Here is a 26,670-nt window from a genome sequence, read left to right on the forward strand (position 1 = left end):
CCGTGGTCAAACTCCATCTCTTAAGAAACATAAGAAATTTTCAGAGATATAAAATACATAATTTCTTTTAACTCAGTTTTCTTTCTTTTTTTTTTTTTTTTTTTTTTTTTTTTTTTTGAGATGGAGTCTCACTCTGTTGCCCATGCTGGAGTGCAGTGGTGCGATCCTAGCTCACTGCAACCTCCGCCTCCCAGGTTAAAGCGATTCTCCTGGCTCAGCCTCCCGAGTAGCTGGGCTTACAGGCGCGTTCCACCACTCCCAGCTAACTTTGTGTTTTTAGTAGAGACGGGGTTTTGCCATGGTAGCCAGGCTGGTCCTGAACTCCCAACCCTCCTGACCTGAGGTGATCTGCCCACCTCAGCCTCCCAAAGTGCCAGGATTATAGGCGTGAGCCATCGCTCCTGGACTTAACTCAGTTTTCAAACCACATTTTGAGATCTCAAATAGAACTTCAATGTTCATTTTAAAAATAGTTGGACTTTCAGATACTGATTTTTTAACAAAGTTTCAAAATAAATATTGAATTTAGGAAACACATACTCCCTGCTATTTATGTGAGAAATACTTGAACTTGTCTCCCTCCCCTCCCCCACCCTTTTTTTTAGATGTAGTCTAGCTCTGTCACCCAGGCTGGAGGGCAGTGGCGTGATCTCAGCTCACTGCAGCCTCCACCTGGGTTCAAGCAATTCTTCTGCCTCAGCCTCCCAAGTAGCTGGGATTACAGGCATGTACCACCACACCTGGCTAACTTTCTGTTTTTTTTAGTAGAGATGGGGTTTCACCATGTTGGCCAGGCTGGTCTCAAACTCCTGACCTCAGGTGATTCACCCGCCTCGGCCTCCCAAAGTGCTGGGATTACAGGCGTGGGCCACTGCGCCCAGCCCCCTTTTTTTGAATTGTACACAGGATATTTTTATCTAATTGACTTTTTTACAAACTAAAATCTAGAATTCCTTTTATTTACTTTTATTTTTGGAAATTTTTTTTCCTCCCTGTTGGCAATGCAAAAAGCTACTATTTAATGTATGTGCACTAAATATCAGGTGCTGTGTTAAGTATTTTATCTGCATTGCCTCAGTGGTCTTTCCAATAACCTTCCAAGGCAGGTACCATTATTTTCGCCATTCTACATATAGGGAAAATTGAAGCTCAGAGAAGTTAAATTACTTGCCCAAGATCAGAAAGTCAGTGTTGGAACTAATATTTAAATGTAGGTCTGTCTGATTCCAAAGCTTGTGATTTTACTATTACTACATATTACTGCTATGGAAATTTCTGTTTTTGTGTTTTTCTATGTACAAATAACCTTACTCTTTTAAGTGGAATTTAGCAATATGAATATTGTTTTTCAGCTGTGAGTACCAGAGTGCCCACTGGTTCCAACAGTTCTTCTCAGACCACAGAGTGTCTTACACCTGAATCCTGTTCGCAGACTACAAGCAATGTGGCTTCCCAATCGATGCCTCCTGTGTATCCTTCAGTTGACATTGATGCACATGTGAGTAGATTGCTTTATTTAAACTTATTTTGCACATTCTGATCTTCTTTGGAAAGGAAAATTATTCTGCATTTATTGTGAAAAGAAATATTATTTGCTCTTAAATTGATAACTTCTGTTAAAAAAAATTTTAACTTATTTTTTTCTTCTCCTAGACTGAGAGCAATCATGACACAGCATTAACACTAGCTTGTGCAGGTGGTCATGAAGAACTTGTATCTGTGCTCATTGCACGGGATGCCAAAATTGAACACAGAGACAAAAAAGGTAAATATCAGTCAGAAATAAAATCCAAGTGTAGTTACATCAGAAAATAATTAACTTTTTTATTATTGATAAATAGTTCCTAGACTATCTCAGTGATAAGATGGATAAGTATATTTCAGTTAGGAATATCTGGATTCATTATTCTGCGGAGCCAAATAATTCTCAAAACATTCAAAAATTAGACGTAGATCATTAGTGAAATAGAGCAAGTTGTGGTTGCCTTTGTTAATCCAAAGGTAGTTCATACAGAGGCATCAAAGTTCATTATGAGTATAAACTTTAATAATTTTTACCGACTTAGTTTTTTAATTAGGTGTTTATGGGTTTTTTGTCACTAACAAATTAGGGTTTAGAGCAGTTTTATGTTAACTCATTATCAGTGTCTGCCCTGAAGGATTTATTTTGCTAAAATACTAGAGAATTGTAAACAGTGGCTTTAAAATAAAATAAAAAACATAAATTTGTTTAAGATTTTCATTTTCTGATTTAGGTTTCACACCACTAATCCTGGCAGCAACAGCAGGGCATGTTGGAGTTGTTGAAATCCTTTTGGATAAAGGTGGAGATATAGAAGCACAGTCTGAACGAACTAAGGATACTCCGCTTTCATTGGCATGTTCTGGTGGACGTCAGGAGGTGTGTTAATGTTAATTTTCATTTTGTAAATATTTTGCTTGTATTTTAAAATATGCATATGATTCGTATTTTAGCTACATGAATAAAATTTGCATGTATTTTGTGTGTTTGTTTTTCTGAGGCAGGGTCTTGCTCTGTCTCCCAGGCTAGAGTACAGTGGTGCAATTACAGCTCGCTATAACCTTGAACTCTGGGGCTCAAGCAATCCTCAGCCTCCCAAGTAGCTAGGGCTGTTTTGTAGAGATGGGGTCATGTAATGTTGCCCTGGCCGATTTCAAACTCCTGGCCTCAAGCAATCCTCTCTCCTCGGCCTCCCAAAGTACAGGGATTATAGTTATGGGCCAGCATGCCTGGCCCTGCACGTATTTTAACATGTTCCATATACTTTCTGAGGAATGGGTACTTCTGTTAACTTTTATGGGAATGTAAATGCCCTTTTTTTTTGGCGGGGGTTTGTGGAGGGAACAGGAGGGTGGAGATGAGGTCTCATTATGTTGCCCAAGCTGGCCTTGAACTCCTGGCCTCAAGGGATCCTCCTGCCTTGGCCTCCCAAAGTGCTGGGATTATAGGCATGAGCCACCATGCCTGGCCATAAATCCCCTTTTAAAAAATCTGTTTCTTGCCCTTAAAGCCAAATAAAAATTATCTTAATCCTTACATTTATTCGGATTGAATGAATCACAATTCTAACACATATGAAGTGCAAATTTATTGCCCAATAAATGGCAAATAGAAAGGGTAACATCTTGTTATTGCAGTATAATTGGGATTTCAAAACTCTGAATTCCTGAAATTGAATCCATTTCTCTAGTGTTGATATTTCAATATTTAGGGTCTAATGAAATGTAATTAAAATATCAGATATTTAGATAAGGAAGTTATAAGTCCTGTTTCTTTGTGTTTCCTTCATTATAAGTTGAGCCCTTGGTGTAAACTCTCTTCTCTATCCATATTTTACTTTGTAGGTGGTAGACTTGCTGCTGGCTCGAGGTGCAAATAAAGAACATAGGAACGTATCTGATTATACACCACTGAGTCTAGCTGCGTCTGGAGGATATGTTAATATCATTAAGATTCTGCTTAATGCTGGGGCAGAAATTAATTCAAGGTATTGCCTGTTCATTTTATTGTTCATGTTTAGTAAGTTACTACTTTGGACTTAAATGTCTACCTCTTAACGTTTAGACAGATACATTTTAAATTAAGATAGTACTAAAGTTGCAAAGCCAACGATTATACCTATAATGTGTTTGTTTATAAGTAATCTCAGCTTATTTCAGTAATGTGGCTGCTTATAAAGAGGTCTCATTTCAAAAAGTGTTTTGTTCTATGGCCTACCACCCTAAACGTGCCCAATCTCATCTGATCTCAGAAACGGTATTTTATTTTATATAGTTGGAAATTTATAATCCCTAAATAGGAATTACATTTTATTTTTTAAGTTATTTATTTTTTGAGATGGAGTTTCGCTCTTGTTGCCCAGGCTGGAATGCAATGGCGCGATCTTGGCTTACCGCGAACTCTGCCTCCGGGGTTCAAGCGATTCTTATGCCTCAGCCTCCCAGGTAGCTGGGATTACAGGCATGCGCCACCACACCCAGCTAATTTTGTATTTGTAGTAGAGATGGGGTTTCTCCATGTTGGTCAGGCTGGTCTCAAACTCCCGACCTCAGGTGATCTGCCCTCCTTGGCCTCCCAAAGTGCTGGGATTACAGGCATGAGCCACCATGTCTGGCCGGAAATTATGTTTTAAATTGTGACATTTTCTTATTCTTTATTATTGGTCGAAACAAGTAAAATCTATTCATTGATGTTAGAAACCTCTCTTTTTAGTGAAACCTTTTCATCTTTAATGCTTTTCTAAAATAATAGGCAACATATTATTTTAATTTTCTAAGCACATTTCCCCCTTTAGGACTGGGAGTAAACTAGGTATTTCTCCCCTGATGTTGGCTGCAATGAATGGACATGTTCCTGCAGTAAAATTGCTGCTCGATATGGGTTCAGACATTAATGCCCAAATAGAGACCAATCGGAACACGGCTCTCACCCTGGCCTGTTTCCAGGGCCGAGCAGAAGTAGTGAGTTTGCTTCTGGACCGAAAAGCCAATGTTGAACATAGGGCAAAGGTAAGCATTTTTTACTTGTCAACTATTTCAGATACATTTCTGTAGAAAGAACATGGCATTTTAACGCAAATTGAATATAATATTTTAAATTATCATAAATTAAAACTGATACCAATGCAGAGTTGAGGGATTATGCTGTATAATAGTGAGTGACATACTGTCACCATCATGACTTTTATTAAGGACAATGAAGAAAACAGAATTAGTACTTTTCCCAACCTCAGCCTTGAGTAGCTTTCTATTAATACTGCAGCTTACAACTTTTGAATGTAGTAAGATTATTTTGTATTAACTCTTACACTGTAGACTTTTAAAGAACACCTTTAATGAGGTATGTGCTTATCATTGTAAAAATCCCAAGCAAAAATTTAATTCACAAGTTATAAAATTAGGGCAGCTAACATCTAATTTGACCATGGCAGATTTTGACAGTTTCATGACTATTTGGTATTAAGAAAATAGGAGTTAGTGGAGGCTGGGCGCGGTGGCTCACTCCTGTAATCCCAGGACTTTGGGAAGCCTAGGCAGGTGAATCACATGAGGTCAGGAGTTTGAGACCAGCCTGACCAATATGGTGAAACCCCCGTCTCTACTAAAAGTACAAAAAATTAGCTGGACGTGGTGGCAGGCGCCTTTAATCCCAGCTACTCAGGAGGCTGAGGCAGAAGAATCACCGGAACTTGGGAGGTGGAGGTTGCACTGAGCAGAGATCACGCCATTGCACTCCAGCCCGTGCAACAAGAGAGAAACTCCATCCCACCCCCCGCCCCCACAAAAAAGAAAGAATAAAGGAGAAAAGTCATAAGATAATCTCCATAGATGCAGGAAACACACACAGAGGAAAGAAAATAGGAGTTAGTATGTCATTGGCTTGAATTTCTTTGCTTAGAACTGCAAGGTTCTTAGAACTCTGGAAAGACGTAGGTTGGGTAGAATTTTTAATAATTAGTCAACAGAGAATCTAGTGCTCATTTGAAATTGGAAAGATTTGACTGGAAATCTCGTACTTCTTCCCTGAAATTCCTTTTACTTCTTAAAGTTTAGTGCAACATTTACATTCTTTTAATCTAAGTAATGAGGAAGTGTAGTTTTTCCTTGGCTTTTTACCACACAAAGAGAAATGAGTCTTTCCTGTCATTCAATTTGTCTTTTTCTATTACAAGTATTCATTGTGTGCCACTCATCCATTAAAGGTCCTAGAGAAATCTGTGTTATTTTGGATAGTACCAGTAGGAAATGTCCTTTGAAAAAATGTTGGAGACTAACGTACCAAAGGCACATATGCAAAAAATTTATAAAGTGATTTTAATCTACTTATTTTTAATATCTCTATTCATTATGCAAAGAAATTATCTGAGTAAATTCACAAAAGTATAGAAGTTACAGAATTGTTTTTAGCATGAGATAACATGTTTTAAGTTCATTCTAGCACGTCTGAATCTAACAATTTCTACTGCTGTTTAGTAAAATTCAAGGCAAAATATTGCTTAGCTCTTTTATGAGAGCTAATCAGAACTAGAATTGTCTTAAAAGTTAATTGCCTCAGGTTTTTAAAGAAATTATGTAGCTTAGTTTTGGTCTACGGAATAGTTAAAAAAAGAAATGTAACTTAGTTGCATAATTTATTGGTTTAAACAGACGGGTCTTACCCCCTTGATGGAAGCAGCTTCTGGAGGGTATGCAGAGGTTGGAAGAGTTCTTCTTGATAAAGGAGCAGATGTTAATGCTCCCCCTGTGCCTTCCTCAAGAGATACTGCTTTAACAATAGCAGCAGACAAAGGTCACTACAAATTTTGTGAACTCCTGATTCATAGGTGAGTACTTTTCTATTATATGTAGAACTTCTCATGGTCATTTTCACTTTTCAGAGCTTTTAAAGTTAATAACATTGTTTTACTTTATTGATATTGTTAAGAAAAGATTATTTGCAAGTTATTTTGTAAAAGAAGAAGATAGAGAAAACTAGAAAAAGCCAGCCTCTTCTTACAGGAAACAAACTATTAATATGCCTTGTTTACAGGGGAGCCCACATTGATGTTCGTAACAAAAAGGGAAATACGCCACTTTGGCTGGCATCCAATGGAGGTCATTTTGATGTTGTGCAGTTGCTAGTGCAAGCAGGTGCTGATGTGGATGCAGCAGATAACCGGAAAATCACACCTCTTATGTCAGCATTTCGCAAGGTAATTTGATATGGGGGAAGAAAGGTCAATTTTAAGCCAATTCTAAGTTAAAACCATGTGAGAAAGATAAGTTTATCTTGGAGAATTGAGTATATTTCCATAGAAAAATCACTGCTATCTTTCCATTCTTTTTTTTTTTTTTTTTTTTTGAGACGGAGTCTTACTCTGTCACATAGGCTAGAATGCAGTGGCATGATCGCGGCTCACTGCAACCTCTGCCTCCCAGGTTCAAGTGATTCTCCTGCCTCAGCCTCCTGAGTAGCTGGGATTACAGGCATGCGTCACCACACCCGGCTAATTTTTGTATTTTTAGTAGAGATGGGGTGTCACCACGTTGGTCAGGCTGGTCTCAAACTCCTGACTTTGTGATCTGCCTGCCTCAGCCTCCCAAAGTGCTAGGATTACAGGCTCCCGACCTTATCTTTCCATTCTTTTGTGGCCAAATCTAAGATCTATGTGGTAGTTCACTATAAGCAACTTGGTTGTTAAATCACTTGGTGTCTTGACTATTTGTGATACATTGTTCATGAAACAGAAGATTTAAGAAAAACTATTATATGCAGATGGATTTTTTTGTGCCTAAAGAGGAACAAAAAGGAGTAGACTTTCATAAAAACTTACTGTATCTTCTGTGTGCGTGTGTGTGTGTGTGTGTGAGTATGAAACGGTCTCAGTCTGTCAACCAGGCTGGAGTGCAGTGGCATGATCATAGCTCACTATAGCCTCAACCTCCCAGGCTCAATTGATCCTCCCGCCTCAGCCTCCTGAGTAGCTGGGACCACAGGTGTCACTACCATGCTCAGATTTTTTTTATTTTTACTTTTTGTAGAGACGAGGTCTTGCTATGTTGCCCAGGCTGGTCTCAAACTCCTGGGCTCAGCGATTCTCCCACCTCTGCCTGCCAAAGTGCTGAGATATGGGCGTGAGCCATGCCTCTCATATATATTAAAGTTCATGCCCGGCCTCTCATATATATTAAAGTTCACTTATCTGCTGTATTTTTAAAAGCCTTCCCATTGGTATAGCTTCCCAAACTATAAACTACTTAGTAGGGCATGTAAAGACCTGCATAATAAGCTTCATGTCAACCTCCCCATACAAATCATTTATGCTACTATCCCCTTTTGCTCACTGTTTTCTAGTTACTGGCCTAGAATGCACTAAATTTTCAACTGCCTCAGGGCCTTTGCTCACTGATTTTCTTTTCCTGAAATGATTTCCTTTGCTGTTCACCTAGCTCACCTCTCTACTCATCTGTTAGCTCCAATTTTACATGTCAGTTCTCAAAGAGTATTTCTCTAACACCAAATCTGAAAAAGGTCCCTCTGTTTCTCTTTTATAGTTGAGTTTTGATTTTCCTTACCCCAATTTGTAATTATATCTTCAAACATGTACTTACCATTTTAATGCCTGTCTCGCCAACTAGACTGGTAGGTCCATGAGGACAAGAGTCATGACCATCTTTTTCAGCACTGTTTATATACCCAGTTGTTTAGCACAGTGCAATTTACATATAGTGAAATGCATGAATCTTAAGGTACATGGTTTAGTTTTGATAAACGTATACATACATGTAACCCATACCCCATAAACATATAAATTATTTCTGTAACCCTAGAAGGTTCCCTCTTGCCCACTTTTAGTCACTTCCCTGCCCCAGAGGCAAGCATTTCTCTGATTTGTATCTCCATCACACTAATTCTTAAGGATGTTTTAGAACCTTGGTAGGAAGGGAAACTATGCAAGCTTGGTTACATTAAAATAGATATGCTGGCCGGGTGCGGTGGCTCACGCCCATAATCCCAGCACTTTGGGAGGCCGAGTCAGGTGGATCACCTGAGGTCAGGAGTTCAAGACCAGCCTGGCCAACATGGTAAATCCCCGTCTCTACTAAAAATACAAAAATTAGCCAGGCGTGATGGTAGGCACCTGTAATCTCAGCTACTCCGGAGGCTGAGGCAGGAGAGTTGCTAGAACCCGGGAGGCGGAGGTTGCAGTGAGACAAGAGCGTGCCGTGGCACTCCAGCCGGGGCAACAACAGCGAGACTCCCATCTCAAAAAAAAAAAAAAAAAGATATGCTTAGAATTGATTACAGATCTTTCAACCCTTGATAATGGCATTTAGAAAGTGTTTTATTTAGATTCAAGTCCTAAGGCTCAGAAAGTTGTGATAGTCCACCTTGTTTAGTTAGTGAAGTAGAGGCAAAGTAAGACTTTGAAATTTAAAAAAAAATTACTTATTTTAGGACTCATTTCCCTTTTACACTGAGGTTCATTTTACATCACCAATGTTTGTTTAATAGATTTATTCTAGGAGATACTGTTTTTCTACAAAAGCTTTTTCTAATTTCAGTGGGATTAAATTCAGGAGAAATGTTGTCTAGTCCACCATCCATTCCTGAGCACACATTCTTGTCTTTTATGCCTTTCTTTTTATAAGCTGAATGCTGATCTTATTTTTATAATTTTAATTTTAAGCTTAATATTCTATTTGGAAGTATTTGCCTTTTTATTCTTAAATTGGTAGGCATATATGCAAAATCAAGGGATTCCTTTGTAATTCTGTTGTTTTACTTTCTTTTATTCTTAAGAATAATAATTTTTCTTTTCATGCTACCTTGTCTAAGATTGTTGTACTTCTTATAGGGTCATGTAAAAGTTGTTCAATATTTGGTAAAGGAAGTAAATCAGTTCCCTTCTGATATAGAATGCATGAGATACATAGCAACAATTACAGATAAGGTAAGTTTAATATGCTACTGAAGCACATTTTTGTTCTTTGTGGAATGATATGCCAAAGTGTGCAGTTAGGAACTTGTTCTTTTTATATTCTGAAAGGTTGGTCACCTGATCTCTTTATGCGTTTGTTTCTCCATTTGCAAAATAGAGGGGTATAATACTTTTGATAAACTATTTTGAGATTTCTACTGTGGACCATAGTCACAGTGACTACACTAAGGTACTAAACCATTAGCCTAATGAGAAGGCTTCCTAAGGACATGCAGGTTTTTAGGGAAATGGTGTCTTATTTTTGTGAAAGATTGGACTCAAAGGATAACTTAATTTGGTTTAGTGACTTTTCAGTTTGAACTTTAACCTCTGGACTTTAATGTGCTCATCAGCTTAAGTTTTATTTGGCCTCTTTCATTATATATTTACATAATTCTATTTCCTGCTGTAGGAACTGTTGAAAAAATGTCATCAATGTGTCGAAACCATTGTGAAGGCTAAAGACCAGCAAGCTGCAGAAGCAAATAAGAATGCGAGTATTCTTTTAAAGGAACTTGATCTGGAAAAGGTGAGTGGGAAAAATAATTTTCCTTTTTAGAAATTATTGAGGGTGGGGGCCGGGCACGGTGGCTCACGCCTATGATCCCAGCACTTCAGAAGGCCAAGGCGGGTGGATTACCTGAGGTCAGGAGTTCAAGACCAGCCTTGCTAACAAGGTGAAACCCTGTCTCTACTAAAAATACAAAAATTAGCCAGGTGTGGTGGCACACCCCTGTAATCCCAGCTACTCGGGAGGCTGAGGCAGGAGAATTGCTTGAGCCCGGGAGGCAGAGGTTGCAGTGAGTCGAGATCGTGCCACTGCACTCCAGCCTGGCTGACAGAGCGAGACTGTCTCAAAAAAAAAAAAAAAAAGAAAGAAATTATTGAGGGTGGGCGTGGTGGCTCACACCTGTAATCCCAGCACTTTGGGAGGCTGAGCCTAGGAGTTTGAGATCAGTTTGGTCAACATAGAGAGGATGGCCTGAGCCCAGGAGGCAGAGGTTGCAGTGAGCTGTGATTGTGCCACTGCACTCTAGCCTGGGTGACAGAGTGAGACCCCATCTCTACAAAAAAAAGTTTAAAAAACAGTTGGGCATGGTGGTACATGCCTGCAATCCTAGCTATTCAGGAGGCTGAAGTGGAAGGATCACTTGAGTCCAGGAGTTCGAGGCTCCAGTGAGCCATAATTACACACTGCAGTCCAGCCTAGGCAACAGATCGAGACTCTCTCTCTATTAAAAAAAAAAAAAAAAAAAAGGAATTGACAGATGTCATGGCTCATGCCTGTAATCCCAGCACTTTGGGAGGCTGAGGAGGGTGGACTGCTTGAGCCCCAGAGTTTGAGACCAGCCTGGGCAACATGGCAAAACCCCATCTCTACAAAAAACAAAAAATTAGCCAGGCATGGTGGCAGGTGCCTGTAGTCCCAGCAACTTGGGAGGGTGAGGTGGGAGGATGGCCTGAGCCCAGGAGGCAGAGGTTGCAGTGACCTGTGATTGTGCCACTGCGCTCTAGCCTGGGTGACAGAGTGAGACCCCATCTCAGACAAAAAGAAAATCTGCTAGAGTAAACGTGTCGCCTATATGACCAATATTCTTAATAATATATGATTCAAAGGAAATAGGTAATAGATTCTTAAACCACCATCAATTTTTTATTCTGACCTGTCATTCAAAAAAATATATTTTGAGCCCAAATATAAGGGAAGGACTAGATTTTGAGCAAGATCCCAATTTACGGCTGGGAGCGGTAGCTCACACCTGTAATCCCAGCATTTTGGGAGGCCTAGGCTAGAGGATGGCTTGAGCTCAGGAGTTCGAGACCAGGCTGGGCAACATAGTGAGACCTTGCCTCTACTAAAAGTTTAAAAAATTCACCGGGCATAGAGGTGCACACCTGTAGTCCCAGCTACTCAGGAGGCTGAGGCGAGAGGATCTCTTGGGCCTGGGAGGTTGAGGCTGCAATGAGCTATGATTGTGCAATGAGCCACTGCACTCCAGCCTGGGTGACAGAGCAAGACCCTGTCTCAAAAAAAAAAAGGTCCTGTCTGGGCGCAGTAGCTCATGCCTGTAATCCCAGCACTTTGGGAGGCCGAGGCGGGCAGATCACCTGAGGTTAAGAGTTTGAGACCAGCCTGGCCGACATGGAGAAACCCCGTCTCTGCTAAAAATACAAATATTAGCTGGGTGTGGTAGTGCATGCCTGTAGCCCCAGCTACTTAGGAGGCTGAGGCAGGAGAATTGTTTGAACCCGGGAGGCAGAAGTTGCAGTGAGCTGAGATCACGCCACTACACTCTAGCCTGGGTGACAGAGCTAGATTCTGTCCCCCCAAAAAAAAAAAAAATCCCATTTTACCAAATGACATCATTACTGCCTAAGTGGTTTTAACATTGGTCTGTGAAGAAATTTAGTAAAGCATTGGAAATCATTTGTTTATTGTTAAGATCTGGGTTACAAATGGTTTATTAGATTCCCAATTAAAGACTATCCAGAAAAAAGACGGGAGGAGCCAAGGTGGCCGAATAGGAGCAGCTCCGGTCTACAGCTCCCAGCGTGAGCGACGCAGAAGACGGGTGATTTCTGCATTTCCATCTGAGCTTTGAAGAGAGCAGTGGTTCTCCCAGCACGCAGCTGGAGATCTGAGAACGGGCAGACTGCCTCCTCAAGTGGGTCCCTGACCCCTGATCCCTGACCCCTGAGCAGCCTAACTGGGGGGCACCCCCCAGCAGGGTCAGACTGACACCTCACACGGCCGGGTACTTCAACAGACCTGCAGCTGAGGGTCCTGTCTGTTAGAAGGAAAACTAACAAACAGAAAGGACATCCACACCAAAAACCCATCTGTACATCACCATCATCAAAGACCAAAAGTAGATAAAACCAAAAAGATGGGGAAAAAACAGAGCAGAAAAACTGGAAACTCTAAAAAGCAGAGCGCCTCTCCTCCTCCAAAGGAACAAAGTTCCTCACCAGCAACGGAACAAAGCTGGACGGAGAATGACTTTGACGAGCTGAGAGAAGAAGGCCTCAGACGATCAAATTACTCTGAGCTACGGGAGGAAATTCAAACCAAAGGCAAAGAAGTTGAAAACTTTGAAAAAAATTTAGAAGATTGTATAACTAGAATAACCAATACAGAGAAGTGCTTAAAGGAGCTGATGGAGCTGAAAACCAAGGCTCGAGAACTACGTGAAGAATGCAGAAGCCTCAGGAGCCCATGCGATCAACTGGAAGAAAGGGTATCAGCGATGGAAAATGAAATGAATAAAATGAAGCGAGAAGGGAAGTTTAGACAAAAAAGAATAAAAAGAAACGAGCAAAGCCTCCAAGAAATATGGGACTATGTGAAAAGACCAAATCTACGTCTGATTGGTGTACCTGAAAGTGACAGGGAGAATGGAACCAAGTTGGAAAACACTGCAGGATATTATCCAGGAGAACTTCCCCAATCTAGCAAGGCAGGCCAACATTCCGATTCAGGAAATACAGAGAACGCCACAAAGATACTCCTCGAGAAGAGCGACTCCAAGACACATAATTGTCAGATTCACCAAAGTCGAAGGAAAAAATGTTAAGGGCAGCCAGCGAGAAAGGTCGGGTTACCCTCAAAGGGAAGCCCATCAGACTAACAGCAGATCTCTCGGCAGAAACTCTACAAGCCAGAAGAGAGTGGGGGCCAATATTCAACATTCTTAAAGAAAAGAATTTTCAACCCAGAATTTCATATCCAGCCAAACTAAGCTTTGTAAGTGAAGGAGAAATAAAATACTTTACAGAGAAGCAAATGCTGAGAGATTTTGTCACCACCAGGCCTGCCCTAAAAGAGCTCCTGAAGGAAGCACTAAACATGGAAAGGAACAACCGGTACCAGCCGCTGCAAAATCATGCCAAAATGTAAAGACCATCGAGACTAGGAAGAAACTGCATCAACTAACGAGCAAAATAAACAGCTAACATCATAATGACAGGATCAAATTCACACATAACAATATTAACTTTAAATGTAAACGGATTAAATGCTCCAATTAAAAGACACAGACTGGCAAATTGGATAAAGAGTCAAGACCCATCAGTGTGCTGTATTCAGGAAACCCATCTCACGTGCAGAGACACACATAGGCTCAAAATAAAAGGATGGAGGAAGATCTACCAAGCAAATGGAAAACAAAAAAAGGCAGGGGTTGCAATCCTAGCCTCTGATAAAACAGACTTTAAACCAACAAAGATCAAAAGAGACAAAGAAGGCCATTACATAATGGTAAAGGGATCAATTCAACAAGAAGAGCTAACTATCCTAAATATATATGCACCCAATACAGGAGCACCCAGATTCATAAAGCAAGTCCTGAGTGACCTACAAAGAGACTTAGACTCCCACACATTAATAATGGGAGACTTTAACACCCCACTGTCAACATTAGACAGATCAACGAGACAGAAAGTCAGCAAGGATACCCAGGAATTGAACTCAGCTCTGCACCAAGCGGACCTAATAGACATCTACAGAACCCTCCACCCCAAATCAACAGAATATACATTTTTTTCAGCACCACACCACACCTATTCCAAAATTGACCACATACTTGGAAGTAAAGCTCTCCTCAGCAAATGTAAAAGAACAGAAATTATAACAAACTATCTCTCAGACCACAGTGCAATCAAACTAGAACTCAGGATTAAGAATCTCACTCAAAACCGCTCAACTACATGGAAACTGAACAACCTGCTCCTGAATGACTACTGGGTACATAACGAAATGAAGGCAGAAATAAAGATGTTCTTTGAAACCAACGAGAACAAGGACACAACATACCAGAATCTCTGGGACACATTCAAAGCAGTGTGTAGAGGGAAATTTATAGCACTAAATGCCCACAAGAGAAAGCAGGAAAGATCCAAAATTGACACCCTAACATCACAATTAAAAGAACTAGAAAAGCAAGAGCAAACACATTCAAAAGCTAGCAGAAGGCAAGAAATAACTAAAATCAGAGCAGAACTGAAGGAAATAGAGACACAAAAAAACCCTTCAAAAAATTAACGAATCCAGGAGCTGGTTTTTTGAAAGGATCAACAAAATTGATAGACCACTAGCAAGACTAATAAAGAAAAAAAGAAGAATCAAATAGATGCAATAAAAAATGATAAAGGGGATATCACCACTGATCCTACAGAAATACAAACTACCGTCAGAGAATACTACAAACACCTCTACGCAAATAAACTAGAAAATCTAGAAGAAATGGATAAATTCCTCGACACATACACTCTCCCAAGACTAAACCAGGAAGAAGTTGAATCTCTGAATAGACCAAGAACAGGAGCTGAAATTGTGGCAATAATCAATAGCTTACCAACCAAAAAGAGTCCAAGACCAGATGGATTCACAGCCGAATTCTACCAGAGGTACAAGGAGGAGCTGGTACCATTCCTTCTGAAACTATTCCAATCAATAGAAAAAGAGGGAATCCTCCCTAACTCATTTTATGAGGCCAGCATCATCCTGATACCAAAGCCGGGCAGAGACACAACCAAATAAGAGAATTTTAGACCAATATCCTTGATGAACATTGATGCAAAAATCCTCAATAAAATACTGGCAAACCGAATCCAGCAGCACATCAAAAAGCTTATCCACCATGATCAAGTGGGCTTCATCCCTGGGATGCAAGGCTGGTTCAGTATACGCAAATCAATAAAAGTAATCCAGCATATAAACAGAACCAAAGACAAAACCACATGATTATCTCAATAGATGCAGAAAAGGCCTTTGACAAAATTCAACAACCCTTCATGCTAAAAACTCAATAAATTAGGTATTGATGGGACGTATCTCAAAATAATAAGAGCTATCTATGACAACCCCACAGCCAATATCATACTGAATGGGCAAAAACTGGAAGCGTTCCCTTTGAAAACGGGCACAAGACAGGGATGCCCTCTCTCACCACTCTTATTCAACATAGTGTTGGAAGTTCTGGCCAGGGCAAATAGGCAGGAGAAGGAAATAAAGGGTATTCAATTAGGAAAAGAGGAAGTCAAATTGTCCCTGTTTGCAGACGACATGATTGTATATCTAGAAAACCCCATTGTCTCAGCCCAAAATCTCCTTAAGCTGATAAGCAACTTCAGCAAAGTTTCAGGATACAAAATCAATGTACAAAAATCACAAGCATTCTTATACACCAACAACAGAGAGCCAAATCATGAGTGAACTCCCATTCACAATTGCTTCAAAGAGAATAAAATACCTAGGAATCCAACTTACAAGGGATGTAAAGGACCTCTTCAAGGAGAACTACAAACCACTGCTCAGTGAAATAAAAGAGGATACAAACAAATGGAAGAACATTCCATGCTCATGAGTAGGAAGAATCAGTATCGTGAAAATGGCCATACTGCCCAAGGTAATTTACCGATTCAATGCCATCCCCATCAAGCTACCAATGACTTTCTTCACAGAATTGGAATAACTACTTTAAAGTTCATATGGCACCAAAAAAGAGCCCACATCGCCAAGTCAGTCCTACGCCAAAAGAACAAAGCTGGAGGCATCACACTACCTGACTTCCAACTATACTACAAGGCTACAGTAACCAAAACAGAATGTTACTGGTACCAAAACAGAGATATAGATCAATGGAACAGAACAGAGCCCTCAGAAATAACGCCGCATGTCTACAACTATCTGATCTTTGACAAACCTGAGAAAAACAAGCAATGGGGAAAGGATTCCCTATTTAATACATGGTGCTGGGAAAACTGGCTAGCCATATGTAGAAAGCTGAAACTGGATCCCTTCCTTACACCTTATACAAAAATCAGTTCAAGATGGATTAAAGACTTAAACGTTAGACCTAAAACCATAAAAACCCTAGAAGAAAACCTAGGCATTACCATTCAGGACATAGGCATGGGCAAGGACCTCATGTCTAAAACACCAAAAGCAATGGCAACAAAAGCCAAAATTGACAAATGGGATCTAATTAAACTAAAGAGCTTCTGCACAGCAAAAGAAACTACTATCAGAGTGAACAGGCAACCTACAAAATGGGAGAAAATTTTCGCAACCTACTCATCTGACAAAGGGCTAATATCCAGAATCTACAATGAACTCAAACAAATTTACAAGAAAAAAACAAACAACCCCATCAAAAAGTGGGCAAAGGACATGAACAGACACTTCTCAAAAGAAGACATTTATGCAGCCAAAAAACACATGAAAAAATGCTCCTCATCACTGGCCATCAGAGAAACGCAAATCAAAACCACAATGAGATACCATCTCACACCAGTTAGAATGGCGATCATTAAAAAGTCAGGAAACAACAGGTGCTGGAGAGGATGTGGAGAAATAGGAACACTTTTACACTGTTGGTGGGACTCTAAACTAGTTCAACCATTGTGGAAGTCAGTGTGGCGATTCCTCAGGGATCTAGAACTAGAAATACCATTTGACCCAGCCATCCTATTACTGGGTATATACCCAAAGGACTATAAATCATGCTACTATAAAGACACATGCACACGTATGTTTATTGCGGCATTATTCACAATAGCAAAGACTTGGAACCAACCCAAATGTCCAGCAATGATAGACTGGATTAAGAAAATGTGGCACATATACACCATGGAATACTATGCAGCCATAAAAAATGATGAGTTCATGTCCTTTGTGGGGACATGGATGAAATTGGAAATCATCATTCTCAGTAAACTATTGCAAGAACAAAAAACCAAACACCGCATATTCTCACTCATAGGTGGGAATTGAACAATGAGAACACATGGACACAGGAAGGGGAACATCACACTCTGGGGACTGTTGTGGGGTGGGGGGGAGGGGGGAGGGATAGCATTGGGAGATATACCTAATGCTAGATGACGAGTTAATGGGTGCAGCGCACCAGCATGGCACATGTATACATATGTAACTAACTGCACATTGTGCACATGTACCCTAAAACTTAAAGTATAATAAAAAAAAAAAAAAAAGACTATCCAGTATCCTAGGATGTGTGCTGTAATGGAAAAATTAAAACAAACAAACTAAAACATTGCCTTTCTGAGGCTCAGTCTGCTTACCTGGAAAATGACAGTGTTGATATACTGAGTTTGGAAATTATATTAAAAGAAAAAATGTCATGATCAAGTAGAGTTATTCTAGGAATGCAAGAGATAGCTTAACATAAAAATATTTTGTTGATAATTAAAGGAAGAGAAAAAGTATGATTATTGAGAGATGCTAAAATTTTGACAGCAAATTTTGGTTTAAAAAAACTTCGTAAGCTAAAGAGAGAAGAAAAGTTTGCTTACAGTCATTGAGGAGAAAAAAAGATAACTTATCCATAATAAAAAATGATCATGTGAATAGGCAATTCACAGAAAAAGAAATACAGGCTGGGCATGTGTGGTGGCTCATGCCTGTAATCCCAGCACTTTGGGAGGCTGAGGCAGGAGGATCACTTGAGACCAGCAGTTCAAGACCAGCCTGGGCAACATAGTTGGACCCTGTCTCTACTTAAAAAAATAAATTAAAATAAATTCTATAAATAGGAAAGAATCATTTTTGTAATAGCTTCTTGTCAGGATTTTTACAGTGAAATTTATCAGTATTTTGTAAAGATCCATGATAGCTGCATTTTAGGCACATAAATAGATGCCACATAAATGTTTTTTTAAAATAGCATTAGTGAAATTCACTCCACAAACCATACAATTTACCCATGTAAAGTTACATAATTCACAGTTGGGCACAGTGGCTCATGCCTGTAATCCTAGCACTTTGGGAGGCTGAAGTGGGCAGATCACCTGAGGTCAGGAGTTCGAGACCAGGCTGGCTAACATGGTAAAACCCTTCTCTACTAAAAGTACAAAAATTAGTCAGGCATGGTGGCACACGCCTGTAATCCCAGCTACCTGGGAGGCTGAGGCAGGAGAATTGCAGGAACCCGACAGGCAGAGGCTGCAGTAAGCCAACATCGTGCCACTGCACTCCAGCCTGGGTGACAGAGCAAGACTCTGTCTCAAAATAAAATAAATAAAGTTACGTAATTCAGTGGTGTTTAGTATATTCACAGAATTGTACATTTATCAGCACAATTTTGGAACATTATGACTGTCATAAAAAGAAACCCTGCACTCCATAGCTATCATATTCCCATTCCCCCACTGCAATCCCTGTGTCCTAGGTAACTGCTAATCTACTTTCTGTCTCTATAGATTTGTCAATTATGGACTTTTCACATAAATGGAATCATATAATATTTGGTCTTTTGTGACTGGCTTTTTCACTTAGTGAAATGTTTTCAAAATTCATCCATGTTATAGCCAAAATCAGTACTTTATTTCTTTTTATTGCCAAATACGAAAACAATTCTATTCTGTAGACAGACCACATTTTGTTTATCTGTTTATCAGTTAATGGTCATTGGGTTGCTTCCACTTCTTGGCAATTATAAACAATGCTCAATGATTGTAAGCAACCTTTTCTTCTCTCTTTAGCTTACTACGTTTTTTTAAACTAAAATTTGCTATCAAAATTTTAGCATCTCTCAATAATCATACTTTTTCTCTTTAATTATCAACAAAATATTTTCATGTTAAGCTATCTCTTGCATTCCTAGAATAACTCTACTTGATCATGATGTTTTTTCTTTTAATAATGGAATTATAAATAAGTATACAGTTTTTGTATGAAAATGTTTTTATTTCTCTGGAGCATGTACCTATGGATGGAATTACTAAATCATATGCTAGTTCTGTGTTTAACTATTTGAAGGATTGAAGGAGTGCCAGATTGTTTTCCAAAGTGGCTGTACCATTTTACATTCCTACCTGCAGTGTATGAAGGTTTCAATTTCTCCACATCCTCACCAATATTATTATCTGTCTTTCTGATTGTAGCCATCCTAGTGGGTGTGAAGTGGATATCTTGTGACTTGGATTTGATTTTCCCTGATGGCTAATGATATTGAACATCTATCTTTCTCTGTGCTTATTGGTCATTTGTATATTTTCTTTGGAGAAATGTCTATTCAGATCCTTTTTCTGTTTTTAAAAAATAGCTTTATTGAGGTATATTTGACAAATAAAAATTTGTGTATATTTAAAATGTATAACTTGGTTTTTTTTTTTAATTAATTTTTTTCTTTTTCCTTTTTTTTTTTTTTTTTTTTTAAGAGACAGGGTTTTACTCTGTTGCCAAGGCTGAGTGCAGTGACATGATTATAGCTCACTAGAGCCTCAAACTCCTGGGCACATGCAATCCTCCTGCCTCCCAAGTAACTGGGACTACAGGCATAGGTCACCATGCCTGGCTAATTTTCTTATTTTTTTACAGAGATGGGATCTTGCTATATTGCCCAGGCTAGTCTCAAACTCCTGGGCTCAAGCAATCTTTCCTCCTCAGTCTCCCAAAGTGCTTGTATTACAGGCGTGAGCCACCATGCCCAGCCTGCATATAACTTGATGTTTTCATAATCTGTTTTTTAAATGGACTGTCTTTTCATTCGTGAGTTGTAAGATTTTTTTTTTATATATTATAGATACAAGTCCCTTACCAGTTGTATGATTTGCAAAAATATTTTTCCCATTTTATAGGTTGACTGTTTACTTTTTTTTTTTTTTTGAGACAGTCTCACTCTGTCACCCAGGCTGGAGTGCGGTGCCATGATCTCGGCTCATTGCAACCTCTGTCTCCCAGGTTCAAGTGATTGTCCTGCCTCAGCCTCTCGAGTAGCTGAGACTGCAAGTCCGTGCCACCACACCCAGTTAATTTTTGTATTTTTAGTAGAGATGAGGTTTCGCCATGTTGGCTACATTAGTCTCGAACTCCTGACCTCAGGTAATCCACCGACCTCGGCCTCTCAAAGTGCTGGGATTATAGGTGTGAGCCACCACGCCCAGCTGATTTTTTACTTTCTTGATGATTCCTTTGAAGTATAAAAGTTTTTAATTTTGATGGTGTCCAGTTTATTTTTTCTTGTTGGCATTTATAAATGTGTTTTGAGAGTAACATCCATGGAAATCCCTGTGTATCATAAAAATATCATTTCATTCTTTATTTTACATTACTGCCTTATTGGTAAAATTATATACCTGCTTTATTTCCAGTCAAGAGAAGAGAGCAGAAAGCAGGCTCTTGCTGCTAAAAGAGAAAAAAGAAAAGAAAAGAGAAAAAAGAAAAAAGAGGAACAGAAAAGGAAACAGGAAGAAGATGAAGAAAACAAACCTAAGGAGAATTCGGAACTACCAGAGGATGAAGATGAAGAGGAGAATGATGAAGATGGTGAGAAACAAACCATCTGAATTAACGATAAAATTCTCCTTTGTTTATCAACTTCATTTTGAGTGCTCTTTGCTCTAGTTAACTCTAGTTAAACATTTGATTACTTTATTAATCTGAAATGGACAATGACTTTTATAGTAAATATTTGTAAGTGTTTTGCATTGTAAATTAATGCAGAGAAACAAGAGGGAAAACAAGCGCATAATTTGAATAAATTCAGTTGTAATTTAAGTCACCTTGTAAAACACTGCATATATACTAAAAGCAATACAGTGAGAAGTTTGCCACCTTTTTTTGAGATTCTTCTCTAACTCTTCCTCTCCTGATTAGAAGTAAAATTTCTCAGTTTACTTTTAGCTGAGATTCAGGCTCAAGGATATAGAGGCCTGAAATGTCAGTAGAGATGGGTTTAGTACTCTCAAAGAGTTATTTATTGTACTGTCTGGCAGTGCTTGTAGTAGGCAAATAATTTTGTTCTACTTGGATTCTAATTCTAAAATACTATTTGAAAAATGTCCTAAATTCAAATTATATTGTGGTTTGGGTTCATGAGACTAGAATTAAGAATATTAAGAATATTGGGCCGGGTGCAATGGCTCACACCTGTAATCCCAGCACTTTGGGAGGCCGAGAGCGGATCACGAGGTCAGGAGTTTGAGACCAGCCTGACCAATATGGTGAAACCCCGTCTCTACTTAAAAAAAAAAAAAAATTACAAAATTAGCCTGGGATTACAGGCGTGGTGGCACATGCCTATAATCCCACCTACTCAGGAGGCTGAGGCAGGAGAATTGCTTGAACCTGGGAGGCGGAGGTGGTGAGCCGAGTTCACGCCATTGCACTCCAGCCTGGGTGACAGGAGCAAAACTCTGTCTCAAAAAAAAAATAAAAAGAAAAAAAAGAATATTAAGAATGTTGCTAGTATGTGTGTCCTATACCACCTTAGACAAGAAAATATATTTTATATTTGTTCTAACAACAAATAATAGTAAATATTTATTAGGCTAACAAGAGCAAAGATTTTTTTTGTGTGTTTTTTTGAGATGAGGTCTCCCTCTGCCACCCAGGCTGGAGTGCAGTGGTGCAATCTCGGCTCACTGCAACCTCTGCCCCCCAGGTTCAGGTGATCCGCCCACCCCAGCCTCCCCAGTAGCAGGGACCACAGGTATGCACCACCATCCCCAGCTAATTTTTGTATTTTTTGTAGAGACAAGATTTCGCCATGTTGCCCAGGAGATCTTGAACTCTTGAGCTCAAGTAATCAATCCACCTGCCTTGGCCTCCCACAGTGCTGAAATTACAGGCATGAGCCACTGCACCTGGCCACAGTAAAAGATTTCTTTATTTCAGCTGGGCGCAGTGGCTCACACCTGTAATCCCGCACTTTGGGAGGCCGAGGCGGGTGGATCTTGAGGTCAGGAGTTTGAGATCAGCCTGGCCAACATGGTGAAACCCTGTCTCTACTAAAAGTACAAAAATTAGCCGGGCATGGTGGCACATGCCTGTAGTCCCAGCTACCCAGGAGGCAGAGGTTGCAGTGAGCCAATATCGCACCACTGCATTCCAGCCTAGGCGACAGAGCAAGACTCCATCTAAAAAAAAAAAAAAAAGATTTCTTTATTTCTTAGTGAATACTGGTGAAAGGAAAATATGATGTAAAACACTGAATTATTATGAATTATCAAATATATTCTGTCAGAATTTGTTTTGAGATCTGTGACTCAGTATGATTTTTATTCTTTTTAACAATTTCAGTGGAGCAAGAAGTTCCCATAGAACCTCCTAGTGCAACCACCACCACTACGATTGGAATCTCTGCAACATCTGCAACATTCACAAATGTGTTTGGGAAAAAAAGGGCCAATGTGGTGACAACTCCCAGCACCAATCGGAAAAATAAGAAGAACAAAACAAAAGAAACCCCTCCTACAGCACATTTAATTTTACCAGAACAACATATGTCTTTAGCCCAACAAAAGGCAGATAAAAATAAAATAAATGGAGAACCTAGAGGTGGTGGTGCAGGTGGGAATAGTGATTCAGATAACTTGGACAGCACAGACTGCAACAGTGAGAGTAGCAGTGGTGGTAAAAGCCAAGAGTTAAATTTTGTGATGGATGTGAATTCCTCTAAATACCCCTCACTGCTCCTTCATTCCCAAGAAGAAAAGACAAGTACTGCTACTTCCAAAACTCAGACACGGTAAATTTTTCTGATTTGTTAACTCTACCTGCACCTTTCCTTCTTCATGCCTGGTACAAGAATTTGAAGTATATTAATCCAAGTACAAGTTGTGTTAAACAATTGAAGTCTACCACATTATCTATCTTCAATATTCAAAACTGAAATTCACCCATGTCCTCTTTATCATTTGCTAGTTAGGAAATGAGATTATTAGAAATTTTTATAGGATTCATAGTCTGAAGTTGAAAATATTTGCATGCTTTGATTTTATCTATGTCATTTTTATTGATTATAGTCTAATTTTTGGCATCTGAATCCATTTTAATACTAAAATAAATGATGGGTTCTTTGCTCTATTTCTGTTTTTCTGACTCATTGATTATTTGATGTGCCAAAGTTTAATACGAATATTTCAGCGTAACTCTGGCTATAAAGGAATAGTCTCTTGAGTTTCTATCTTAAAACTTATCTTTTATTGTACTTGCTATTTGTCTCTTCTTAGACTTGAAGGTGAAGTGACTCCTAATTCCTTGTCAACCAGCTACAAGACAGTGTCATTGCCATTAAGCTCTCCAAACATAAAGCTGAATCTCACTAGCCCTAAAAGGGGTCAGAAAAGAGAAGAAGGGTGGAAAGAAGTTGTACGAAGGTAAATAGAATTAGTTCCATCTTTTTAGCTTTCATATATTTTCCCTTTCTCATGTGAGATGGCTACCTAGTTAATTAATGAATAATTTGAATGTGGTTATTATTTTAAACTGCATTGCCACACTAAATCCAGAATATGCTAAAGCAAAATTAGAAGCAGTATGTAAATTTTGCATGCATATTTTATATGACACAAGAAATTTTGGCTTTTTTGGATAACCTCAGTTGCTTTTTATGTAGTTCAAATGTAAAGGCTTTCTCTTGCTTTTTTTCTTTCTCATGTCTCAGTAATTCTAGAACTAAAGTACTAATAATCAACTTTAGATTCAGAATACATGTCAGCTCATCATTGACCTGAGGCTTTATTTTTTATTGCTAAGTATGAGCTGTTGATACTGGTTTAAAATGAATATGCTAGCATAGTTATTCTGTGTGGATTTTAATAATATGGTATTCATTATTTTAACAGGGTCATTGCAGTTTAGTTGATGTGTAATATTTTGGGCAGATTTGAATGCTTATATTGTGAGTGATTTAAATATAATTTTTGTTTTCAATGGCAGTGTAATTTTTAAAATTAGGTTCTCTGAAACTGCAGAGCAATGTAATTTTTAACTTTACTAAATTCAATTCAATATTACAAGAGATCAATTTCTAAAATAAAAACTTTTAATAATTTCCTCTTTAGCATTTAAGAAATGTTATTCTCCAAAATGTCCATGAACATACTTACTAAGACATCTTTCTTAATAAAGAGACATTTAATTTCATAAGCTCATGTGTATTCTTCATTTTATAGGTCAAAGAAATTGTCTGTTCCAGCCTCAGTGGTGTCGAGGATAATGGGAAGAGGAGGATGCAACATCACTGCAATACAGGATGTTACTGGTGCCCATATTGATGTGGATAAACAAAAAGATAAGAATGGCGAGAGAATGATCACAATAAGGTAATTGTGCAAAATGTATACTGCTAGTTCTGAGTAGAAATTATAAGAAGCATACCTTTGTCAGGTATGGTATAATTAAGAACTTTATTTGATGGTTAAGATTACCTTTTTTTTTTTTTTTAATGTTTTTGGTCTTGTTTCTGTTTTTTTTTTTCCCTTAGGGGTGGCACAGAATCAACAAGATATGCAGTTCAACTAATCAATGCACTCATTCAAGATCCTGCTAAGGAACTGGAAGACTTGATTCCTAAAAATCATATCAGAACACCTGCCAGCACCAAATCAATTCATGCTAACTTCTCATCTGGAGTAGGTACCACAGCAGCTTCCAGTAAAAATGCATTTCCTTTGGGTGCTCCAACTCTTGTAACTTCACAGGCAACAACGTTATCTACGTTCCAGCCCGCTAATAAACTTAATAAGAATGTTCCAACAAATGTACGTTCTTCTTTCCCAGTTTCTCTACCCTTAGCTTATCCTCACCCTCATTTTGCCCTGCTGGCTGCTCAAACTATGCAACAGATTCGGCATCCTCGCTTACCCATGGCCCAGTTTGGAGGAACCTTCTCACCTTCTCCTAACACATGGGGACCATTCCCAGTGAGACCTGTGAATCCTGGCAACACAAATAGCTCTCCAAAGCATAATAACACAAGCCGTCTACCTAACCAGAACGGGACTGTTTTACCCTCAGAGTCTGCTGGACTAGCTACTGCCAGTTGTCCTATCACTGTCTCTTCTGTAGTTGCTGCCAGTCAGCAACTGTGTGTCACTAATACCCGGACTCCTTCATCAGTCAGAAAGCAGTTGTTTGCCTGTGTGCCTAAGACAAGTCCTCCAGCAACAGTGATTTCTTCTGTGACAAGCACTTGTAGTTCCCTGCCTTCTGTCTCCTCTGCACCTATCACTAGCGGGCAAGCTCCCACCACATTTCTACCTGCAAGTACTTCTCAAGCACAGCTTTCTTCACAAAAGATGGAGTCTTTCTCTGCTGTGCCACCCACCAAAGAGAAAGTGTCCACACAGGACCAGCCCATGGCAAACCTATGTACCCCATCTTCAACTGCAAACAGTTGCAGTAGCTCTGCCAGCAACACCCCGGGAGCTCCAGAAACTCACCCATCCAGTAGTCCCACTCCTACTTCCAGTAACACACAAGAGGAGGCACAGCCATCCAGTGTGTCTGATTTAAGTCCTATGTCAATGCCTTTTGCATCTAACTCAGAACCTGCTCCATTGACTTTGACATCACCCAGAATGGTTGCTGCTGATAATCAGGACACCAGTAATTTACCTCAGTTAGCTGTACCAGCACCTCGAGTTTCTCATCGAATGCAGCCCAGAGGTTCTTTTTACTCCATGGTACCAAATGCAACTATTCACCAGGATCCCCAGTCTATTTTTGTTACGAATCCAGTTACTTTAACACCACCTCAAGGCCCACCAGCTGCAGTGCAGCTTTCTTCAGCTGTGAACATTATGAATGGTTCTCAGATGCACATAAACCCAGCAAATAAGTCTTTGCCACCTACATTTGGCCCAGCCACACTTTTCAATCACTTCAGCAGTCTTTTTGATAGTAGTCAGGTGCCAGCTAACCAGGGCTGGGGAGATGGTCCACTGTCCTCACGAGTTGCTACAGATGCCTCTTTCACTGTTCAGTCAGCGTTCCTGGGTAACTCAGTGCTTGGACACTTGGAAAACATGCACCCTGATAACTCAAAGGCACCTGGCTTCAGACCACCTTCCCAGCGAGTTTCTACTAGTCCAGTTGGTAAGTTATTAACTATTGCTGCAGTTGAGTTTGGAGCTCCTATGGCCTAATCTCACCTTAAGTGGACAAAAAAAGTAGCAAGAGGTAAATCAGTCACATATAATGAGCTGCTTTAGATTCTCTCTATGATTTTTCTGTCCCTCATAGTAAGGAAGTTATACCATAGTGTAAGTCCATTTTCTTGGAATTGGTGTCTATTCATATTAATAAAAAAAACTCCAGGGATGTTTCAAGGATTCCAAATTTACAGACTTAAAAAAAAAATCATAGTGATTGTTTGCATTTCTTAGATTTAAAAAATTGAAGTTGCAAAGGTGTTTAGGCACAAGTTCATAATTTACA

At 39.4% G+C, this 26,670-nt stretch overlaps 2 protein-coding genes and 1 pseudogene across 2 annotated transcripts in view; 2 read left to right on the forward strand and 1 right to left on the reverse strand.

Moving 5' to 3' along the window:
* The window catches only part of ANKHD1-EIF4EBP3 (ANKHD1-EIF4EBP3 readthrough), a 147,744-nt gene that overhangs the window by 101,636 nt on the left and 19,438 nt on the right, over nt 1-26,670 (forward strand). Inside the window, exons 16-29 of the mRNA NM_020690.6 lie at nt 1,353-1,498; nt 1,654-1,765; nt 2,256-2,401; nt 3,367-3,509; nt 4,317-4,530; nt 6,169-6,344; nt 6,551-6,713; nt 9,360-9,455; nt 9,895-10,011; nt 20,598-20,772; nt 22,528-22,975; nt 23,460-23,606; nt 24,405-24,554; nt 24,716-26,328. Coding sequence (NP_065741.3) covers nt 1,353-1,498; nt 1,654-1,765; nt 2,256-2,401; nt 3,367-3,509; nt 4,317-4,530; nt 6,169-6,344; nt 6,551-6,713; nt 9,360-9,455; nt 9,895-10,011; nt 20,598-20,772; nt 22,528-22,975; nt 23,460-23,606; nt 24,405-24,554; nt 24,716-26,328 — 3,846 coding nt within the window. The remainder of the gene's footprint in view (nt 1-1,352; nt 1,499-1,653; nt 1,766-2,255; nt 2,402-3,366; nt 3,510-4,316; nt 4,531-6,168; nt 6,345-6,550; nt 6,714-9,359; nt 9,456-9,894; nt 10,012-20,597; nt 20,773-22,527; nt 22,976-23,459; nt 23,607-24,404; nt 24,555-24,715; nt 26,329-26,670) is intronic.
* The window catches only part of ANKHD1 (ankyrin repeat and KH domain containing 1), a 138,017-nt gene that overhangs the window by 101,636 nt on the left and 9,711 nt on the right, over nt 1-26,670 (forward strand). The window contains exons 16-29 of the mRNA NM_017747.3: nt 1,353-1,498; nt 1,654-1,765; nt 2,256-2,401; nt 3,367-3,509; nt 4,317-4,530; nt 6,169-6,344; nt 6,551-6,713; nt 9,360-9,455; nt 9,895-10,011; nt 20,598-20,772; nt 22,528-22,975; nt 23,460-23,606; nt 24,405-24,554; nt 24,716-26,328. Coding sequence (NP_060217.1) covers nt 1,353-1,498; nt 1,654-1,765; nt 2,256-2,401; nt 3,367-3,509; nt 4,317-4,530; nt 6,169-6,344; nt 6,551-6,713; nt 9,360-9,455; nt 9,895-10,011; nt 20,598-20,772; nt 22,528-22,975; nt 23,460-23,606; nt 24,405-24,554; nt 24,716-26,328 — 3,846 coding nt within the window. The remainder of the gene's footprint in view (nt 1-1,352; nt 1,499-1,653; nt 1,766-2,255; nt 2,402-3,366; nt 3,510-4,316; nt 4,531-6,168; nt 6,345-6,550; nt 6,714-9,359; nt 9,456-9,894; nt 10,012-20,597; nt 20,773-22,527; nt 22,976-23,459; nt 23,607-24,404; nt 24,555-24,715; nt 26,329-26,670) is intronic.
* On the reverse strand, nt 23,884-23,960 carry LOC124901194 (uncharacterized; annotated as a pseudogene).

Source organism: Homo sapiens, chromosome 5, assembly GCF_000001405.40.
Source record: "Homo sapiens chromosome 5, GRCh38.p14 Primary Assembly".
Classification (NCBI taxonomy): Eukaryota; Metazoa; Chordata; class Mammalia; order Primates; family Hominidae; genus Homo; species Homo sapiens.